The sequence below is a fragment of the Homo sapiens genome, chromosome 17 (assembly GCF_000001405.40).
Source record: "Homo sapiens chromosome 17, GRCh38.p14 Primary Assembly".
Classification (NCBI taxonomy): Eukaryota; Metazoa; Chordata; class Mammalia; order Primates; family Hominidae; genus Homo; species Homo sapiens.
The window spans coordinates 57373243-57392544 of NC_000017.11; the positions used below are offsets into that span (position 1 = coordinate 57373243).

The 19302-nt window shown below is 47.1% G+C and overlaps 1 protein-coding gene across 10 annotated transcripts in view, besides 1 other annotated feature; it reads left to right on the forward strand.

Annotated features, from left to right (window-relative positions):
- MSI2 (musashi RNA binding protein 2) overlaps nucleotides 1–19302 on the forward strand; it is a 445731-nt gene that overhangs the window by 117392 nt on the left and 309037 nt on the right. The window lies entirely within an intron of this gene.
- Nucleotides 6317–6971: an enhancer, noted in NCBI's record as "NANOG-H3K27ac-H3K4me1 hESC enhancer chr17:55456920-55457574 (GRCh37/hg19 assembly coordinates)". NCBI's record gives its function as "activates a minimal SCP1, AML or CMV promoter by ChIP-STARR-seq in naive H9 embryonic stem cells {active_cell/tissue: H9 hESC(naive)}" and the evidence as "EXISTENCE:reporter gene assay evidence [ECO:0000049][PMID:30033119]".

Consider the following 19302-nt stretch of genomic DNA (forward strand, 5'->3'; position numbering starts at 1 on the left):
CCAAATATTAGGTGTGTTAAGATCCTGGGAGATCAAATTTCACCCTCTCATTTTACAGATAAGAAAACTGAGGCCCAACAAACATTAGTAATTGCCTCACCCCAGGTCAATCAGCCAGTTAGGAACAAAACAGATTTCAGGTTCTAGTTTGTGTCCTTTTTTCTTTTTAAATGAAGATATTGATCTATTTTTTAAAAACAAGAACAAAGGCCGTGTGTTAGTCTAGTTTCAGTTGCAGAGAGCTGAATCCACTCCCATCTGGTTTAAGCAGAAAGGAATTTGTTTGAGGGCATTAAAATGCTTCCAGAAATCATCAGGAGATACACGGAAACCTCTAGGTTGTGCTTTTGGGAACAGCCCTCAGAGCTATGCAGCAGATCTGGGTCTTCAAATACCTACTGTCTCTTCTGTCATCTGGAAGTCCCCACCAAATTGGGAAGATGGTGCTACAGCTGCCAGGTTCAGAACCACAGCCGCACTGTCCCCATCCGAAGGCCTCCATGGCTGCCACTGTCCTGCTGTGATCTCCAGCAAAATAGGTTCTCCATGACTAGTCAGTAGAGACAGAGGATATTGCTGCAGAATAACCTAACACCTCCCTGGCCATGTTGCCAGGGGAAATAGTTAAAGTACAGAATATACTACTTTCCCTTTCATACCTAGCTGCAAGGGAACCTGGAATATTACTCCTTAATTTTCCAGATCCTGCATAACAGAAAGGCTTATGGCGAGGAGGTTGGACTGGATGATGGGGACCGATTTACCATGTCTACTTAGTAAACAGATCAAATGATAAGAAATAGACTTCAGTTCTGTGTTATGGCCATGCAAGGTAGACTGGCAGAGAAGCAAAAAACAAAAACAAAAAAGCAGCCAGACAACTAGAGAATTGTCCAGAATTTAAGACAGACAAAGACAGAAGCTATATGCAGAAACATAGCGTCAATAGGGTGGCAGCACTACATTGTACTGTTTTAGGATATATCATTTGAAGTCCTGTTGCATTTTTGCAACCCTAGGCATAAGTGGTATGTGGTAGTTTATACTTAATGTGACTGAAATTCAATTCAAATCCAATTCCAACTTGAGTATTGAAGTTTCCCTTTCTAGCCCTTGAACTTGTATCCTGATATTTGTCCCTAAAACTTTAACTTCCTCAATATTTTTTTCCTGCCCTTTTCCTGGTTTTATTTACCTTATACTATTGAGGAACCTACATTTTCCCTCAAAATCCAAAATTTAAAAAGATGCTTGACAGGAACAGTGGCTCACGCCTGTAATCCCAGCACTTTGGGAGGCTGAGGCAGGTGGATCACCTGAGGTCAGGAGTTCGAGACCAGCCTGGCCAACATAGTGAAACCCCATCTCTACTAATGATACAAAAAATTAGCTGGGCATGGTGGTGCAGCGCCTGTAATCCCAGCTACTCGGGAGGTTGAGGCAGGAGAATTGCTTGAACCCAGGAGGCAGAGGTTGCAGTAAGTCGAGATTATGCCACTGCACTCCAACCTGGGCGGTAGAGTGAGACTTCATCTCATAAATAAAAATAAATAAATAAATGCTTATCTTTGATCTAGCAAGGAGACCACTTAGCATTTATTCCATGTCCAGTTGACATTTGGGATGTGCTTTAGGCAAGATGGCAGCCAGAGCACTAGTCTTGCCTGCTATGGGAATGATCATCTTGGTTTCCATCTCTTCAGCATCTCTAGTGAGACTTCAGGACATCCCTGAACATTCCCCATACAGATCGAACATCATTATTTGCTCTTCCTGGTCATTGCCAGCTTGTTGGTGTGGCGGCTGAGTGCTTGGTGTTCACACAGCTCTGAGTTTAGATTTGCCTGGGTTAATGCAGCATCTTTACTAAATGGTGAGGCTTATCCACAAACATCCAGCATGACTACATTGAAAATCAGACTTATGGAAGAAGAAGGAAGAGAGCACTAGATAGAGGGTCAAAAATGGAGCGAGAGATGGCACAAAGTGTAGTGATCAGCAAATTTAAGCCTCTGACAAGCGGTGGTCAGCAGCCTTCCCAGGCCTCTAGCTAGTCAAGTAGGTCAGCCGCACTTCCCCCGTGGCTGTTTGTAAAACATTCTGCTTTGTGGTATAGAGCCAGGAGCCGAGGAGAGGAAACTCAAGAGGCAAAGATGCAGTTCTGTCTTCAGAGGCATTTATTTTCCTATTCAGGTGGGTGAAGCCTTGCCAGGAAACAATTTCTGAGCGAGTAGAAATGGTGATGGAATACGGAGGATTGTATGCCAGGCAGCATGGAAGCCATGGGATCACGGCGTGGGGAGTGGGGCTGTGAAGCCAGCCAGAGCTTCTTGGAATAGTTGAGGGAGGAGGAGGAGGAGATGATGATGTAACATTATCACATTCTTCTACTTAAGAATTCAATAATGACTTCAGGCAGTGTTATTAAGGCCTGCCCAGCAAGAATGGAGGCACAGAGGCCACTCTGAGTGAACATATTTGGGGGACTCTGAGATACAGCCATTTCGGGGAATGGGGAGTGGTGTTGAGTGCAAATAGGAGATAAATTTAGAGATAAAGGATGACGAGACTCCCCTGCCCCCATCCTTCTCCTTTCATTCGCGTTGCCCTTACAGGTAGATGTCTGTTCCTGTAGCCAAGGCACCCCAGGCCGCGTTAGCCGATGCTCACTCTGACCGCCCAGGAGCAGCAGGCTGAGTCAGCCTGTCCCGCCTTTGAACTTGTGTGCAGCTGCTTGCTTTAATTAGGTGATATGTGGGTTCCCTTATCTTCCTGAGAGAAGATTTCTCGCTTTAGGTGATCGGCTATTGACGCCAATGTGGGATTAGAGTTCCTTCTCTCCAGTTTCCCCTCAGGCCCTGTTACAGGATGTCTGAGATAGGAAAATCACATGTTTGAACAAGTGGTGGGTGAGTTGCTTGGCAGGTCGTCAAGACTGATACCTCCAGTGCCCTTTCAGGTTGGCAAAGCACATTCACATAGAATCTGATTTGATCCCTGGAGAAAAGGTATACAATACTTTGGAAATGTCCCATTTCATAGATGAGGAAACGAAGGCTCAAAGGGATGAAGAGTCTTGCTCAGGGCCAAGTAGCCAGCAGACAGCAGGTCTGGGAACCCTATCCCGGTCTGGATCCAATTTATTGCCCTCTCCTTCAGTGCAAGCTGGTGTCCACTTGGACTTGGTTTTCATTGCTCAAATCCCTTCTCGCCTAGGTAGGGAGCCCCTGAAGGGCACACAGTCAAATGGGCCAAGCACGGCAGGTGAGACCCTGACTTCTCATGACCCCGTGTTCTGGAGTTGGAGAAACTTCTGCTAGATTGACTGGAGATCTGGGTTTTCGGTTGTGATTTTTCCATTCTCCTAAAGGTAGACAGCAGAAATAAAAATCCTGAGGCCCACCGTTGTCTTCCTTACCCCTTTGAAGAGTTTTCTGTTTATGAGCAGCTGATTGGCTCAAACTTAGCCTTTCAGAAATAGCGTCTTCCTCTTTTGGGAAAATATGGCATCTCAGTTGCTTTCTGGACTTGAGAATATCTGCCCTTTGCCTTTGGGCAACATTTGCTGCCAAGACCTGCATGTCAATAAGATCCCACCTTCCCCTGGGTTCCTCCCACCCCCGACCCAGGAAAGGGGAAGAACATGGTCATTCTGGGTGTCACGTTGACCTGCAAGTGCCTTTTTTTTTTTTTTTTGAGACGGAGTCTCGCTCTGTCCCCCAGGCTGGAGGGCAGTGGCGCGATCTCGGCTCACTGCAAGCTCCGCCTCCTGGGTTCATGCCATTCTCCTGCCTCAGCCTCCCAAGTAGCTGGGACTACAGGCGCCCGCCACCACGCCCAGCTAATTTTTTGTATTTTTAGTAGAGACGAGGTTTCACTGTGTTTACCAGGATGGTCTCGATCTCCTGACCTTGTGATCTGCCCACCTTGGCCTCCCAAAGTGCTGGGACCACAGGCGTGAGCCACCGTGCCCGGCCCACAAATACTTTTTTAACCTACTTGGGATAGTCAGTTCAGAAGGAAGGAATGAGCCAAGCCTGACTTCCCTCAGGTACGAGTCTGCTAATCTTTAACTCTGACTTGAATCAGGGCATCCACTTCTTTCCTTAGATATCCTTCTGCCCTGTTACATCACCTCATGTGTTGCATCACTGTGGCTGGCTCCACAGTTGGAATTCTGTGTCGGGGAAAGGACAGGGAATTTGGGGCTCTGCCCAGGTGAGCAGGGATTCTCCACAGTTCAGTCCAGCAAGTGTTTTTGGAAGGGAGGCCTCCTGTGCTTAGAGCTTCATGCCCCTTCACCTTCTCAGTGACCTGCCCTATGGAAGTCATCATCTTTACAACAAGGACTTCTGATATATTTGACTATATTTCCCTGGATTCTGCAAATGGCAGAATTTGGAAAGACATGCATTCATTTGTTCCCCCTTGCTCTTCATTACTTTAAAAAAAAAAGCTAATTTGTTTTGATGAGTAGTAGAGGAGAAGGAGGATAGAACTAGATAGAACCTGTCTTCCACTCGCTCCATCCCACTTCAGAAGTGAAGGCATGGCCAGGCACAGTGGCTCACGCCTGTAATCCCAGCATTTTGGGAAGCCAAGGCGGGTGGATCACGAGGTCAGGAGATCAAGACCATCCTGGCCAACATGGTGAAACCCCGTCTCTACTAAAAATACAAAAAATTAGCCAGGCGTGGTGGTGTGCACCTGTAGTCCCAGCTACTCGGGAGGCTGAGGCAGGAGAACGGCGTGAACCTGGGAGGCAGAGCTTGCAGTGAACCGAGATTGCACCACTGCACTCCAGCCTGGGTGACAGAGCGAGACATCATCTCAAAAAAAAAAAAAAGAAAAAAAAAGTGAAGGCATTATGGACATTCTTTTTTTTGAGGCGGAGTTTTGCTCTGTCGTGTCCCGGGCTGGAGTGCAATGGCGCACACAATCTTGGTTCACTGTAGCCTCAGCCTCCTGAGTATCTGGGATTACAGGCATGTACCTCCATGTCCGGCTAAATTTTGTTTTTTGTTTTTATTATTTTTTTTGAGATAGAGTCTCACTCTGTTGCCCAGGTTGGAGTGCAGTGATGTAATCTCGGCTCACTGCAACCTCCGCCTCCCGGGTTGAAGCAATTCTCCTGCCTCAGCCTCCCGAGTAGCTGGGATTACAGGCGAACGCCACCACACCCAGCTAATTTTTCTATTTTTAGTAGAGGTGGAGCTTCACCATGTTGGCCAGGCTGGTGTCGATCTCCTGACCTAGTGATCTGCCTGCCTTGGCCTCCCAAAGTGCTGGGATTACAGGCGTTAGCCACTGTGCCCGGCCAATTTTTGTATTTTTAGTAGAGGCAGGGTTTCTCCGTATTAGCCAGGCTGGTCTCAAACTCCTGGCCTCAAGCCATCCGCCTGCCTCAGCCTCCTAAAGTGCTAGGATTACAGGAGTGAGCCACCATGCCCGGCCCATTTCTTGTTTATCTTCTTAATTTCTTAGTTTGCCCAAGTTTAGGGGTGTTGGCATACCAGGCTTTGAGTGTGGTCCACTGGGGAGAAGGTTCCAGAGTGAACCAGCCACCCATGAGGAAGGACTTGCCCCAAACTGAATTATCCCTCTGTGACTCTGCACCCAATGTGGAATGACTGGGACAGTAAATGAGTGGAAGCTGCATTCTTCTCACAGCGACATGGGCCCAAAATGCTACCTGTGCTAAGTGGCTGAGTTTGTGTTATATGTGAGCCATCAGCCTGCGTGTGGGGTCTGCAGTCCTCTGACAGGGTTCAGTTGCCTACCTGGGTCTATCTCGCTTTTGCTCTTTTGCGTGTGTTCTGCAGACCGACCAGAGGTTGTTATTTCACTCTCCATCCCCTCATCAAACTCACCCACCCCAGACCCTTCAGGAACAAAACCCTGACATCCTCCCTCATGCATTTGTTGTGATCTCGTGTGGCCCTGCTCTCAGCTCACCCCACTTCTCTTGGCTGCCAGGTTTCCGTGTTTTGAGAAAAACCTAAAAAAACTACCACCTGCCTCTACTACTCGATCTACTTTCCCCAAACCCTTCTCTGAGTCAGGGTTGAGTTTTCCCTCCCGCCCACCCTGGGCTGGGGGAGATGTGGTCTCTCACTGGTACTTTATGGAAGGGTGTCTTTATTCAATTTGACTGTTGCTATTATGTGGCGAAGCCTTCAATAAAAGTCGTGATTTATGAGATGTGTGTGGCTGTGGTTGTTTTTTCGTTTTCTTTCTTCTTTTTTTTTTTTTTTGCTTTGTCATCTATCAGGGAGAGAAAAGCCAGGCCTGATACTTTCTTGGCATATCCTGTGTTCAGTTAAGAATGTCAGCTGTCGGCCATCAGGAAGTTACTTCTCGGATTGGCTTCTCCTCCCTTTTACCTCTCACCACAGTCCCCTCTTGAAACAGGCAGAGGCCCCTGCTGTCCTGCAGGCTGGCGATAAGGGGCCTGCTGGATGCTGTGGGGAGAGAAGTGGGGCCCCTGGAGTGGCCCCTCGCCCTCTTAACCCTCCTCAGTGGCTATGCGTTCAGCACCCGGTCAGCTCTTGATTGTTTAATAGGAAGAGGCAGGCAGTGCTCTTCCAGGGGTTTCCAGAGTTTTCTTTGTTCTCGAATACGGTGACTCCCCACCCCTCCCAACTTCTCTTTGTTTTTTGGCCTGGCCACTTTAGAAATCCTTTCTTTTCTTTCTTTTTTTTGTTTTCCTTTTCCTTTTTCTTTTCTGCAAAGTATGTGCATGTTAGATAAAGGCTCTTGAATAGAAGGCCTAGCATATTGGGTATTGGCTGCTGAAAATAGGCTAATTGGAGATAGAAGCAAGTTGTCACAGAGGTGCCGTGCTAGGGGGTGGGAGGAGGATGAACCCCAGCCAATGCCAGGATGACTGTTTCCACCTCTCCCCTCTTCCCGCTCTTATTATTAGCTGTTTGCTGAAACGCACCCATGTCTTTGTGGAGCCACCCACAATAGCATTAACCACGTTGTGCCCTGCATCTTAAGCACCTGGTTAAGGCCCTGTTCTACGTCTGGAATTGGTCCATGCTGAGCCCCCAGAGCGTGCGTAAATCAAGTCTTTAACCCACAGCGGGCGGCCTGGGCAGGACCGTGGAAGGTAGGCCTGCTGAACTTGAGTGGAGTGTGTGCCCCTGGGTTTCTAAGCGGCGGCTTCTGAGGCAGAGCCACCCAGACTTTCATTTTGGTTAGTAGCGGTGCTTGTCAGCAAGTTAGAAACTTGGAAGGCCCCCATCGTTCTGGCCTCCTAACAGGGAGAGTGAAGCGGGGGCAAGCTGGGGGACCTGTAAGTGCCCACTGGGATTTATTCAAAGTGAGGTCTTTAGACAGTCCTTGGTGAAATGTGCTGGACTAAAGGGTTAGTCCTTCAGCCCCCTACCCCCAAACAACCAAGTGGATGTGGGTTTTGCCTTCTAGATACCAACAGTCTAAGAGGGCAGGGGGATTCTGCTTTTGTGAGCACCTGGGTGCTTTGAATTTGGACATCTGTTACTCTTCCAGCACCAAGGGTAAAGTAGTTGGCTAGTCCTATACCTGACACCACCAGGTGTGTACCTTCTCTCACTTCTGTGTGTGCTGATGTCCCTGTTACCCATGGAGATCTTGGCATCGAGTTATCCTTCTGGCTTTCTCTCTGGTGGTCTGTCTGTGCTCCCCCATCCAGGTTCTCAGGGGGTCTTCAGCAGTCCTGGCCTGGAATTCTGGCTCCCCTGACCCCCATCTTACACATACCCCCAGCTCCCACACCAGTGGCTCTTCCTTGGCCTGACCTCCCTTTCTTTTGCCTGGAAAACCCTACCCATTTACTTCTCAATTTTATTTTTATTTTGAGACTGGGTCTTACTCTGTTGCCCAGGCTGGAGGGCAGTGGCATGATCATGGCTCACTGCAGCCTCAACCTCCTGAACTCAAATGATCCTCCCACCTCAGCCTCCCTAGTAGCTGGGACTACAGGTGTACCACCACACCTGGCTAATTTTTGTATTTTTTTTAGAGACAGGGTTTCACCATGTTGCCCAGGCTGGTCTTGAACTCCTGGATTCAAGCGATCTGCCTGTCTCGGCCTCCCAGAGTGCGGGGATTATAGGCGTGAGCCACCGTGCCTGGCCAAACCCACCCATTTTTAAATGGCTCATCTCAAATATCTCCCCTTCCTTGAAGCCTCTTCTGCTTTCTTCCCTCCCCAAGGCAGTGACCCTCCCTCCTCCTAGCCCTATGGCCTCTGCTGGTTCTTTTAGAACCTGTTACCTTATTGTTCCCCCTGGTCCTTCTTGTTCCTGTCCTGTATGCCCCAGTAGCAGGTTACATATTGAGGACAAGACTGTCGGTGTCACTGCTGTCCTATAGAACTTTCTGTGATGGAGGAAATGCTCATCTTAATGCACGTGGGCATGGAGCACTTGAAATGTGGCTAGGGTGACCATGAACTGAATTGCTAATGGCACTTCATTTTAATTAATTTACAATTTAACTTCAGTAGCCATGTGTGGCTGGTGCTATTCTGTGTGCATCTTGCTTATCTTTGTATTTTCAGAGGCCCTGGCACTGTATTCTGCTCACAAGAAAAGGCTTGAGAAATCACTTAGGTGTAGAGTCGTGTGAGCTTATGCATTCTTTGCCTATTTTCCACGCAATTTGATTTTTAAGTTAAATTCAATAGACTATATACTTGAGCACCACCAGTGCTTTGGGGGATGCAAAGATGAAAAGACATGGTCTCTGCCTTCAAGGAACTTAAACCTAACGGGTAAATACTTAGTGATAATAGGAAGCAGAATGAAATGAAATGCTACTCTTCAGGAATAGTTTACATCCTGTGCAGGTGTAGAGAAAACAATAGTGTATGTGACTGAGGGGTGTTGGGGAGATGCTTTAGGATGGTCATTCATTCATTCAGTAAATATTTATTGCATGTCACTGAATGGCCCAGGTACTGGGAATACATCTGTGGACAAAACAGACAAAATTCCTGACCAGAAAGCTTACTTTCTGGTAGGAGGGGGACAGGTGAGAAATAAAACAAGCAAATTATAGAATGTGCTAGAAGATGAGAGGCTGGGAGAAGGTCTAGGGAGTGCTGAGGTGTGGGCGGAATTGAAGTTTTCAATGGAGTAGTTAAGGAAGGCCTAGTGGAGATGGTGACATTTGAGCACAGACATTTGGACCAAGACTTGAGGGTCTGAGAATCGTGATAGGAGGTAAAGACAGGTGGGAGGATATTCCTGGGTGAGGGAACAGCTTGAATGAAGATCTGGGGTGTGGAAATGTGAGCAGTGGTCAGAGACATGTGGTTGGAGCATAGAGGGTAGACAGAACAGGAAGATGAAGCTTCAATGTTAGTTGGGAAACTGATAACAAAGGGCTAGAAAACCCTGCTGGCAATTTTTGATGGCTCTGCAGATACCCTGCCTCCCTGATTAACATATTACCCCCTCCACCCACGAGGACAGTGGTCCCAGTTATTACTTCTGTTCTTCCCATAGGGATTTATTCCAAGTAGCTGCTCAGAAATTGTGTTTATTAAAGGACAGTTAAAACTAAGCCAAATGTCTTACGATGAAATTTTGAGAAAGCAAAAGTCTAATAAGATCAGGTCTCTCCTTTGGGTAATTGTACCATTGGCTCTTATGCTATTTCTAGGCATCTCTTTGTGCAGACTGAGTACTCTGCTATGTCCCAGGTGTCTCAGTCCCTGTGTTTGAACATGTTCATTTGCCCTGGATTCACTTTGGGACACAGAGAAGGTTTGAGGAAGAAAGGGCCTGTGAACAGCAGGAACAGGGTGGAGGACCAAGGAGGCTTGTAGAACAGGGTCTGTGTCCAGGGAGAGGAATGCTTCATTTCCCAGCAAGGACAGAGACCCAGAGACTTAATGGCTGGACAGGAAATGAGTTGTTCTGAGCCACAGATGCCACTTGGAGAACAACTATACAAGATTATCATAGTTTTAGATGTACCCTGAGTTTTAAGAATTCAGATTTTGCCTAGGAAGAGGAGGAGGGCCTTTGGCAAGGGCAAGAAAGGCCTCTTAAAAATACATCGCCCATCAGCCTGTTTTAAGGTGGCTGTTTGGAACTACTGACATTTACAATGATAATAGATATAAAAACCATTTCTAGGCTGGGTGCGGTGGCTCATGCCTGTAATCCCAGCACTTTGGGAGGCCAAGGCGGGTGGATCACCTGAGGTCAGGAGTTCGAGACCAGCCTGGCCAACATGGTGAAACCCTGTCTCTACTAAAAATACAAAAAAGAATTAGTGAGGCATGGCAGTGCATGCCTGTCATCCCAGCTACTTGGGAGGCTGAGGCAGGAGAATCGCTTGAACCCAGGAGGCGGAGGTTGCAGTGACCCAAGATTGCATCATTGCACTCCAGCTTGGGCAACAGAGCAAGACTCCGTCTAAAAAAAATAAAATAATAAAATAGAAATCATTTCTACCCAGAAAAAACTGACATTTTAGACTCCTGCCTTTCTAAAGGCAGAGTTGACCACTACAAGCATATGGTGGTGTGCCTTGGGGGTGGTTATCATATTTATGGATAAATCTTTCAATGCCATCAGCAGCGAGGTTTACCCCCAATGAATACAACTAACCAGAGACTGCCAGGTCACTCCACGGCTTGGTGCACCCATGGGCCTGTCTGGGAGACTTGCTCACGTGGCAGCTCAGAGTTTGCTGATAGCTGCGTGTAGACTGCTGGCCCAGCAAGCACCCAGATCCATCATGGGAAGTGTGTGGCTGAGATCTGGATCCAGTGAAACTGAAAACTGACTCTTCATCCTACTAAACATCTTTGTGATATTGAACACTGTTGACCCTTCCTTTCTATTTGAAATGGCCTGACTTCTGTGTTATAGTTATTGTTGCTGTGGAACAAATTACCCTCAAATTTAGCAGCTTCAGGTAACAATTTTATTATGCTCATGGAGTCTCAGGTCAGAAATTTGGATGGGGCATAGCAGGGACAGCTGGTTTCTTTTTCACCTGGTGTAGGACCTCAGCTGGGAAGACTTGAAATCAAGGGGAGACATGATGGCAAGGGGCTGGAATTATCTGAAGGCTTGTTCACTCATATGTCTGGCTCCTGAACTGGGATGATTCAAAGAATGGAGCTCCTACATGTGGTCTGTCTATATGGTTGGGCTTCCTTACAATATGGTGGCTTCAGAGGAGTGGGACTTCTTGCTTGGTGGCTCAGGGCTCCAAGTGTAAGTGTTCTAGTGAACAAGCTGGAAGCTGCAGCACCTTTTTATGACTCAGCATTGAAATTCATGTTCATCCCTTCTTCTGTCCTCTGTTGGTTGAAGTAGTCAGAAGCTCCCTCAGACTCGAGGGGAGGGACAGAGACCAAGGAACCATGTGCTGCAATTGGCAAAGCAGTTTTTCTTCCTCCTCCCCTAGTTCAGTGAGTGGTGCTTTGGGTTTCCAAAAGATGCTGGCTAACTCCTGAAACTGTTCTTGTCCTTGCTTTTACTCTACCCCATCATCACATCCACTCCCATGATTTCAGTGGCCACTAGATGTTGGTGAATTTAGTCTGATCTTTCTCTTGAGTTCCAGAGCAGATACACAGATTGTCCTACAGACACTGAAAATTTAACATACTCAAAGTGAACACATTTATCTTTCCTCTGCAAACCTGCTGCTTCTGCATCCCCTATCTCAATTGGTGACACCACCATCAGCCACCCAGTAAACTCAAGACCCTTCCCTCTCCCTCCTTTCTGCCTTTGGCCATTTACCCAGTCCTGATAATTTTGTCTCCTACTCTCTCTTAAATCTTTTCCCTCTTTGTTATGCAAATGATCCTTGCTTTAGTTCAGGGTCCCTTCATCTTGAACTATTATGATAAGCTCCTAACCGTTCTTACAGGCTCTATTTTCAACCTCTCAGATCCATCCTCTACAGAATAACCTATCTAAAACACAAAGCTGGTCATGTTATTCCCCAGCTTAAAATGGTTACCCTTTGTCTACAGGATGAAGTCCAGTCTTCTTTGTTATGGTCTGCAAGACTTCTTGTGATATAACCCTTGTTCATGTCTCCATCCTCATCTCCCCTCAGACCCTCCTTTTCACTTGACTTCTAGCAATCCAAAAGTTTAGTGCCTGAAACAAGCAATGATATTCCATGCTGCTGTGACTCTGTCTGCCCTTCTCTCTTGTCTTCCTGAAAAACTTCTGCTCATTCGAGACGAGCCTGGCCAACATGGTGAAACCCCATCTACTAAAAATACAAAAAACTAGTCAGGCATGGTGGCACATGCCTGTAATCCCAGCTACTCACAAGGCTGAGGCAGGAGGATCGCTTGAACCTGGGAGTTGAAGGTTGCAGTGAGCTGAGATAGTGCCGTTGCACCCCACCCTGGGCAACAAGAGCAAAACTCTGTCTCAAAAAACAAAAAACAAAACAAAAAAACTCCTGCTGCTCATCATTTCAAACCCTAGCCAAGCATCTCCTCTTTCAAGCCTGCCCTGACTCTACTGACATAGTTCATCATATTTCCCTGACTGGTCTGACTTCTGTGTTATAGTTGTTGTTGCTGTGGAACAAATTACCCTCAAATTTAGCAGCTTCAGGTAACCATTTTATTACACCTGTCTCTTTTGCATACCATACCATGGTGTGTGTTAGGTGTCTGGGAGATCTTCAAGGGCACAGAACGAAATCTTGTAGTCTGGGATCCCAGTTCCTGTTAGGTGCTCATTAATGGTTGATGTCGATTGGAATGAATCAGGAGTAGGTAATACAGACAATGGCAGTTGTCCTAGAATCTATGAATGCCAGTGGTTTCTGGCCCTTCCCTATTTTACTTGACCTTTTGACTGATTTCTTATCAAGAGTCACCAATGGTCTTTTTTAGATATAAAGATACCCCTATCGAATCACCAGCTGTGCGTGTCCAAGTAGCCTGGAAGGGTTTGTCTGACTTCATCTAACTTCATCTTCTGATGTTCTAACTTTATCTTCTAACATCATCCTCTGATTGTGGCACTTTCTGCTTGGGTCCTCAGTGGCTGCTGAACAGAACTTTGGCCAGCTGTTCTTCGTAGGAACAAAGCCTTTTATCTTCTTAGTGCTTGTGCCCAGTGTAGCAGTGAGGAGTGTTTGGGATTACCTGAGGGGAAAGAGAGAAAACAAGTAGGGTGTCCAGGAACCTAGAATAATCCACAGAGTAATTCAGAACAGGGAACATTCATCCAGCATTTGTCCAACCCATATTTATTGAATGCCTACCATGTGCTAGGCATTCTTTTAGGTGCTAGGAATACAGGGGTGCACCAAACAGATGCAAGTCCTTAACTTCCATTCTAGAGGGTGCATTGACCACAACCCTTCTGAAGCTTCCATTCTGGAGGGTGCATTGACCATGGTCCTCCCTTCTGAAGCCTCCATGCTGGAGGGGACATTGACCACGACCCTCCCTTCTGAAGCCTCCATGCTGGAGGGTGCATTGACCATGGCCCTCCCTTATGAAGCACACCTTCTGTGGGGCATCCTGATGGCAGCTGATTTGACTATGAGTCCCTAGCCCAGTACCTTGTACGTAGCAGACACTCAACAAATGTTTGTGGAGGGAATGATTAAGTGTTGTTGGACAAATGAGGTTTAACTGTACAGATTTTTCTTTCTTGAGGGAAGGGAACCAGATTTTGTTAAGTGCTTGCCAGGTGCAGGGCAACTTCCCCTTAGAAGACCCTGGGCTTCCAGGCAGAAGTGCCCTTCAGAGAGAGCCACACGCCATTTGCTGGGCCATGTGTCTGATTTGACAGCCCTCCAGGGTGAACTACAAAATGAGCCCTCCATGTTCCGGCTGACAGCTACAGGTCCCCAGTTGCCTCTTTGCCTCAATAAACAGCCAGCCCAGACCAGTTAGCTGGGTTGGGCGCATTGGGGAATATATCTTTTCCTTTTTTCTTTTTCATTGTTTGGTTGGCCTAGTGCAAGTGTTTTAAATAGAACAGACATCATGGCTATAAAACATCTGTAACACTACACATTTAGTAAAGTTCCTGGCGGACTGAGTTCTGTTTGATTGGTGATATTTTTGCTGCGACTGTTGTTTCCTTTTCTCTTCTGTTTATCCCTCTGGAAAATAAGTTTTCTTTTATGTGAGGATTTATAGAAATATGTTCCTGGCATGTGGAGAGCATGGATGTATTAGGATATTGGTGTAGCAGAGAAATATTACCTCCGAGGCATGGCCAGCTTTATCTCATAGAGAGTGATCTTCCTAATGTGCAACAGTCTGTTACTCTTTACAGGGTCAGGAGCTACCTAGGTTAAGGCAGATAAAGACACTGCCTTGTGTTGAGGTAGCATATCATTTTTGCTAGAGCATCTCTAACCATTGGAAGTTGATGGGCTGGCGATGGATTGATTCAGGGTGGTGTCTGAGAAATCAAGGGTAGTAGAATTCATAATAATTAGTATTTAATTTATAGAGTGTGTGTCATGCCTTTTCCAAGTACTTTTCCTTCTGTTGTTTAGCCTATAAAACAGGCAGGGAAGGTTTGATCCCCATTCACAGATGAGCAGACAGAGGTGAAGTCACTAGTGGGGAAGGGAAGGTGGTGGGGAGGGGGAAGAGGGACTTAATTGTGTGCCTGTCATTGCAGTCCATTCCAAATAAGCATGTTTCATGTGTTATCTCTTTTAATACTATTTTGTAGAAGAAGGAACAAGTTTAGAGAAGCTCAGTCACTTGCAGTGATCACCTAGTAAAATGCATTACAGGATCGGGTTGCCTGAGTTTGTCCTCTTTCCACTCCTTCAGCCTGCTCAGGGCACTGGGATTGGAACCTGGCCTTCCAATCTCCAAAATCTTCAAATCTGATGCTCTTTTCAGCCTCTATGGCCCTCTTAGGTTTAGAAAAATCATCTTCCGTCCTTAGAGGGTTGAGACATTCAATAAAAGGCAGAGAGACTTGCTCATGATGATTTTGGCCTCTCTCTTTTACTACAAGCCTTTCTTTGGGTTTCCCCCTTTTCCCTCAAAGGAAGTTACTTGTGGAGGTTGGAAGAGGCCAGATCAGCATATCTGGGCTGGGGGGAATTTGACTTTTTTTCTTGATAGGTAAAATTTATGACTTAACAGATGGCTGAGTGTATTTCCAAAGACCACTGCGCTCAGGGTGCAATGTGCTTATCGCTTCTTATGCCTTCCCCACCTGCCCCCACTTGCTCTCTTGCTCCTGGGGTGTTTCTGGAACAGTAGAATAGCTGGGCAAGAAGGGACCTGCTGGTGGGGGAGCTAATCCTAGCCCGCATGCGGGTTGCTTAGGACTGCTGTCCAGGTGTCTTGCTCCTGGTTCATGCCTTTTTCTCTACTTCCTTGTCAACATCTAAGTGTTAAGATCACCCAGCCTCCCCACCCAATGGCCCTACTCTTCTTTTTTCTTTTTCTTTTTTTTGGAGACTTCTTGCTTTGTCACCCAGGCTGGAGTGCAGTGGTGCCAACTTGGCTCACTGCAACCTCTGCCTCCTGGGTTCAAGTGATTCTCATGCCTCAGCCTCCCAAGTAGCTGGGATTACAGATGTGTACCACCACACCTGGCTAATTTTTGTATTTTTAGTAGAAGTGGAGTTTTGCCATGTTGGCCAGTCTGGTCTCAAACTCCTGACCTCAAGTGATCCACCTGCCTCTGCCTCCCAGAGTGCTGAGATGACAGGCGTGAGCTACAGCACCTAGCCCCTGCTCTTCTTCTTCTTCTTCTTCTTCTTTTTTTTTTTTTTTGATACGGAGTCTCACTCTGTCACCCAGGCTGGAGTGCAGTGGTACCATCTCAGCTCACTGCAACCTCCGCCTCCCAGATTCAAGCAATTCTTCTGCCTCAGCCTCCCAAGTAGCTGGGACCACGGGCATGTGCCACCACACCCAACCAATTTTTGAATTTTTAGTACAGACGGGGTTTCACCATATTGGCCAGGCTGGTCTCAAACTCCTGACCTCATGATCCGCCTGCCTCGGCCTCCCAAAGTACTGGGATTACAGGTGTGAGCCACTGCGCCCGAGCCCCCTGCTCTTCTTTTTAATAGCTGGATTGAAAAGTCACTCTCCCGTTTAAACCCCACAGAGATTCAGCCTTCCCGTTGGGCCTGGCCTATCCTCCTTGCATCCCACAATGTCTTATGCTGCAGTCTTTTGGGACCACTAACAGTCCTTCTGCCAGACAGGCTGCAAAGGCCCTTCTCCCCTTTCTTCCTGGCTCTCCCCTGCTAACCTTTAAGCTGCAGGTCATGCCCAGCCCTGTGCTCTCACAGCTCTACCATACTAGAACTAACACAGGCTCTTACTTGAATGTAAGCATCTTTGGAGCAGAGATGAGGTCTCATGCAGTGCTTGGCACATAGTGGGTCCTCACAACAGGTTTGATGAGAGAGTGGATTAATGAACATGGCTTGCCACTGGAGACACTCAGCTGCCATTTCTTTTCTTACCCTCTTGGTCTTTCTCAGGACTCAGCAAACCTTTTTTCAACACCTACTACGTGCCAGGTGCATTAAAATAATTTGATGCTTACAGCAGCTCTGTGACATATAGGTATTGCCCCCACTTTATGCGTAGTTTGCCTAAAATTACCCAGCTAGGACTCAAGTCCAGCAGTTTCTTGTTGAAATCCCAGGCTCCTTCTGCTCTTCTGTGGCTCTTCACCCCTCATGCTCAGGAAGGGTTTTAATGAACAAGAATCTGAAGGCCAGGCATGGTGGTTCACTCCTGTAATCCCAGCCCTTTGGGAAGCTGAGGCAGGAGGATCACTTGAAGCCAGGAGCTTGAGACCAGCCTGCGTAACATAGCCAGACCCTGTCTTTACCAAAAAAAAAAAAAAAGAAAGAAAAGAAAAAGCCAGATGTGGTCGTGTGTGCATGCTTGTAGTCTCTTCTACTCAGGAGGCTGAGATGGGAGGATTACTGGAGCTCAGGAGTTAAGGCTGCAGTGAGCTATAGTCATGCCACTGGCCTCTGGCCTGGGTGACAGAGCAAGACCCTGTCTCAAAAAACTTGGCTTTTGTTGAGGCCTCTATCCTTGCCATTTTTCCCGTTAGATGGCAGAAGTAGCTTCTTACAGAGCCCTGGCTGCATATTAGAATGTTCTGGGGAGTGTTTAAAAATACTGATGCCCAGGTCTCACCTTGAACCAATGAGATCCCTGAGGGTGGGGCCCAGGTATCAGTAAGTTTTAACGACCCCCACCCCGCAGGCCATGCGAATGTGCAGCCAGAATTGAGAACCTCTGCACTACAGGAGTGTCAGTGTGTGGATTAGGTAAAACTTGCTCATCAGAAACTGATTGCCACGTACATCTAAAATATGGTAATGAAGGTAATCAAGGCTAAGGGTTGAGGCTGCCATTTGTTCTTTTCGTGAAATCAACTGGAGGGTTTGGGGGATGGGGTAACTTGGCTTTAGAACCTGCCTACCAGCAAAGTTTTTATACACTCGCTCCTAAGAAGAGCAGGCCAGATTGTTGCTGATGAGAACAGGCCTCGTTCTGGCAGGTGGCTCCCAGTTTACTGGAGAGATGGGCTCTGGAAATCCTCTCTTGGTCTGGCTTCTCTCTGAAGCTTGGTTTTCCTTAAGTTGTGGTGTATCCGAGGGTCTGTAGTCTCGGCCATTCCTTCTAACATGGTTTCTCAGCCTGTCTGTGATGTTTCCCAAATGTCATAGTGAAGGACTCAGAGGTTCCCCAAGATGATAGATCGGGGGTGGCTATTTACTTCTGTTTACAGGGAACTTTGACATGCTCAACTTTTGTGTAGAAACCATTTTCCCTGGTAGTTGCTACCCAGATAAATGGAAATGTTTTGGGAAAAGAGCAATTTGGGAGCTCTGAGCTTGTCACCAAGGTTGTGTGTTCCTAAATCCTGCAGCCTGTACTTGGGCTGGTTTCTTTTACCCTGAGCACAGCCGGTGTGAAGAGCCTCAGGCATTTCTCAGCGTGGGAATAGGCACTGAGGAGATTCCAGCCAGGAGGAGAAGCTGGGAGAAAGGTTGCGCTGGAGGAGACAGAACCCTTGTGTGGATGGTGTTCTCAGGGTTACGATTTCACATTTGTTGTTTCAGCTTGTGTTATTTCAGCCAGTGTCCTAGGCCTGTTTTATAGAACGGAGAACGTGAGGCTCGGAACTGTTAGGAGACTTGACCCAACCTCATCTGAGAAACCAGGGTCAGTTATTTAGCATGTCTCAGTTTACATAGGTGTGCTTGAAAATGGGAACTTCCTATTATTGTTGTATTTGCATCATTTCTGTAGGCAGAATGACCTTGGGCCTGTGCTTTAGTCATGGGACCCTGAGACCATCGTGCCACCATTTCTAGGGCCCTACCCCTCACCGTGAGTCATCTGTGCATCTTCAGAAGAATTCCACCCTGGGTGGGCAACTCGGGCTCCCACTGCTGGAGTGACAGGCACAGATGGAAAGACTGAGTTCATACCAACCCCACCATCCTGTCTGGCTCTTTCTTTCCCACCTCTTTCTGAGGTTTATTAAGAATCTGCTTTGGCTGCCTTTCTCATGCTGGGGCTTTAGAGGGGCCTCTTTTGTATGCAGAAATGCACGACTTCCTCGCAGATTCAAAAACAGTGAAGGTTTCTTACTTAATTTTGCTTAATACCACTGTTGTAAAAGATTATGGGTTTTAATTGCATCAGTGTATTGGTAATCATTCAAACACTTGAGAAAGTCTTTGGGGTCTTCCCCATAGTGGGTCTGAATCACCGTGTGGTGAGCACTGGGGGGCAGCGGCTCCCAGAGGGATGGAGTGATGGAGAAACCGCCTGCAGATGCAGAGCAGCCTGGGTGCCTGTGATCGGAATGACGGCTAGCCAGCCACCTCGCTCTGCAGCGCTTGATGCAGGGATCATGATCCTTAATTTCCTGTGCTTTCCAAGGCAGCCCTCATCTCTCTACCTTTGTCGGTTACCTCCCCCAGCCCCCAATAGGAGTCAGTGCTACTGTTTAGGATATTACTCTCTGATAGTAATCTGTGGACAGGTCACCCCTGTGGCTGCGGCTTTTTCCCTAGGGTAAGAGGAAGTAGTATTTTTTAAATTAGCCTAGGAGGGAGCCAGGTAGAGAGCTCTGAGATGAGGGTGGGGAGCTTCAGCTCCCAGCCGAAGCATCCTGATCATTTCATTACAAGATCACCTTCTCCTGTAGGTGAGTTTCTGTTGTTTTAATCAGAGGTAACGTTGTGCCCTGACTATGTTGTATAATTGTGTGTGAATTATATTCCAGCTCCATATAGGCGAGGGCTATTTTTTTCCTTCCAATTTTAAAGCTA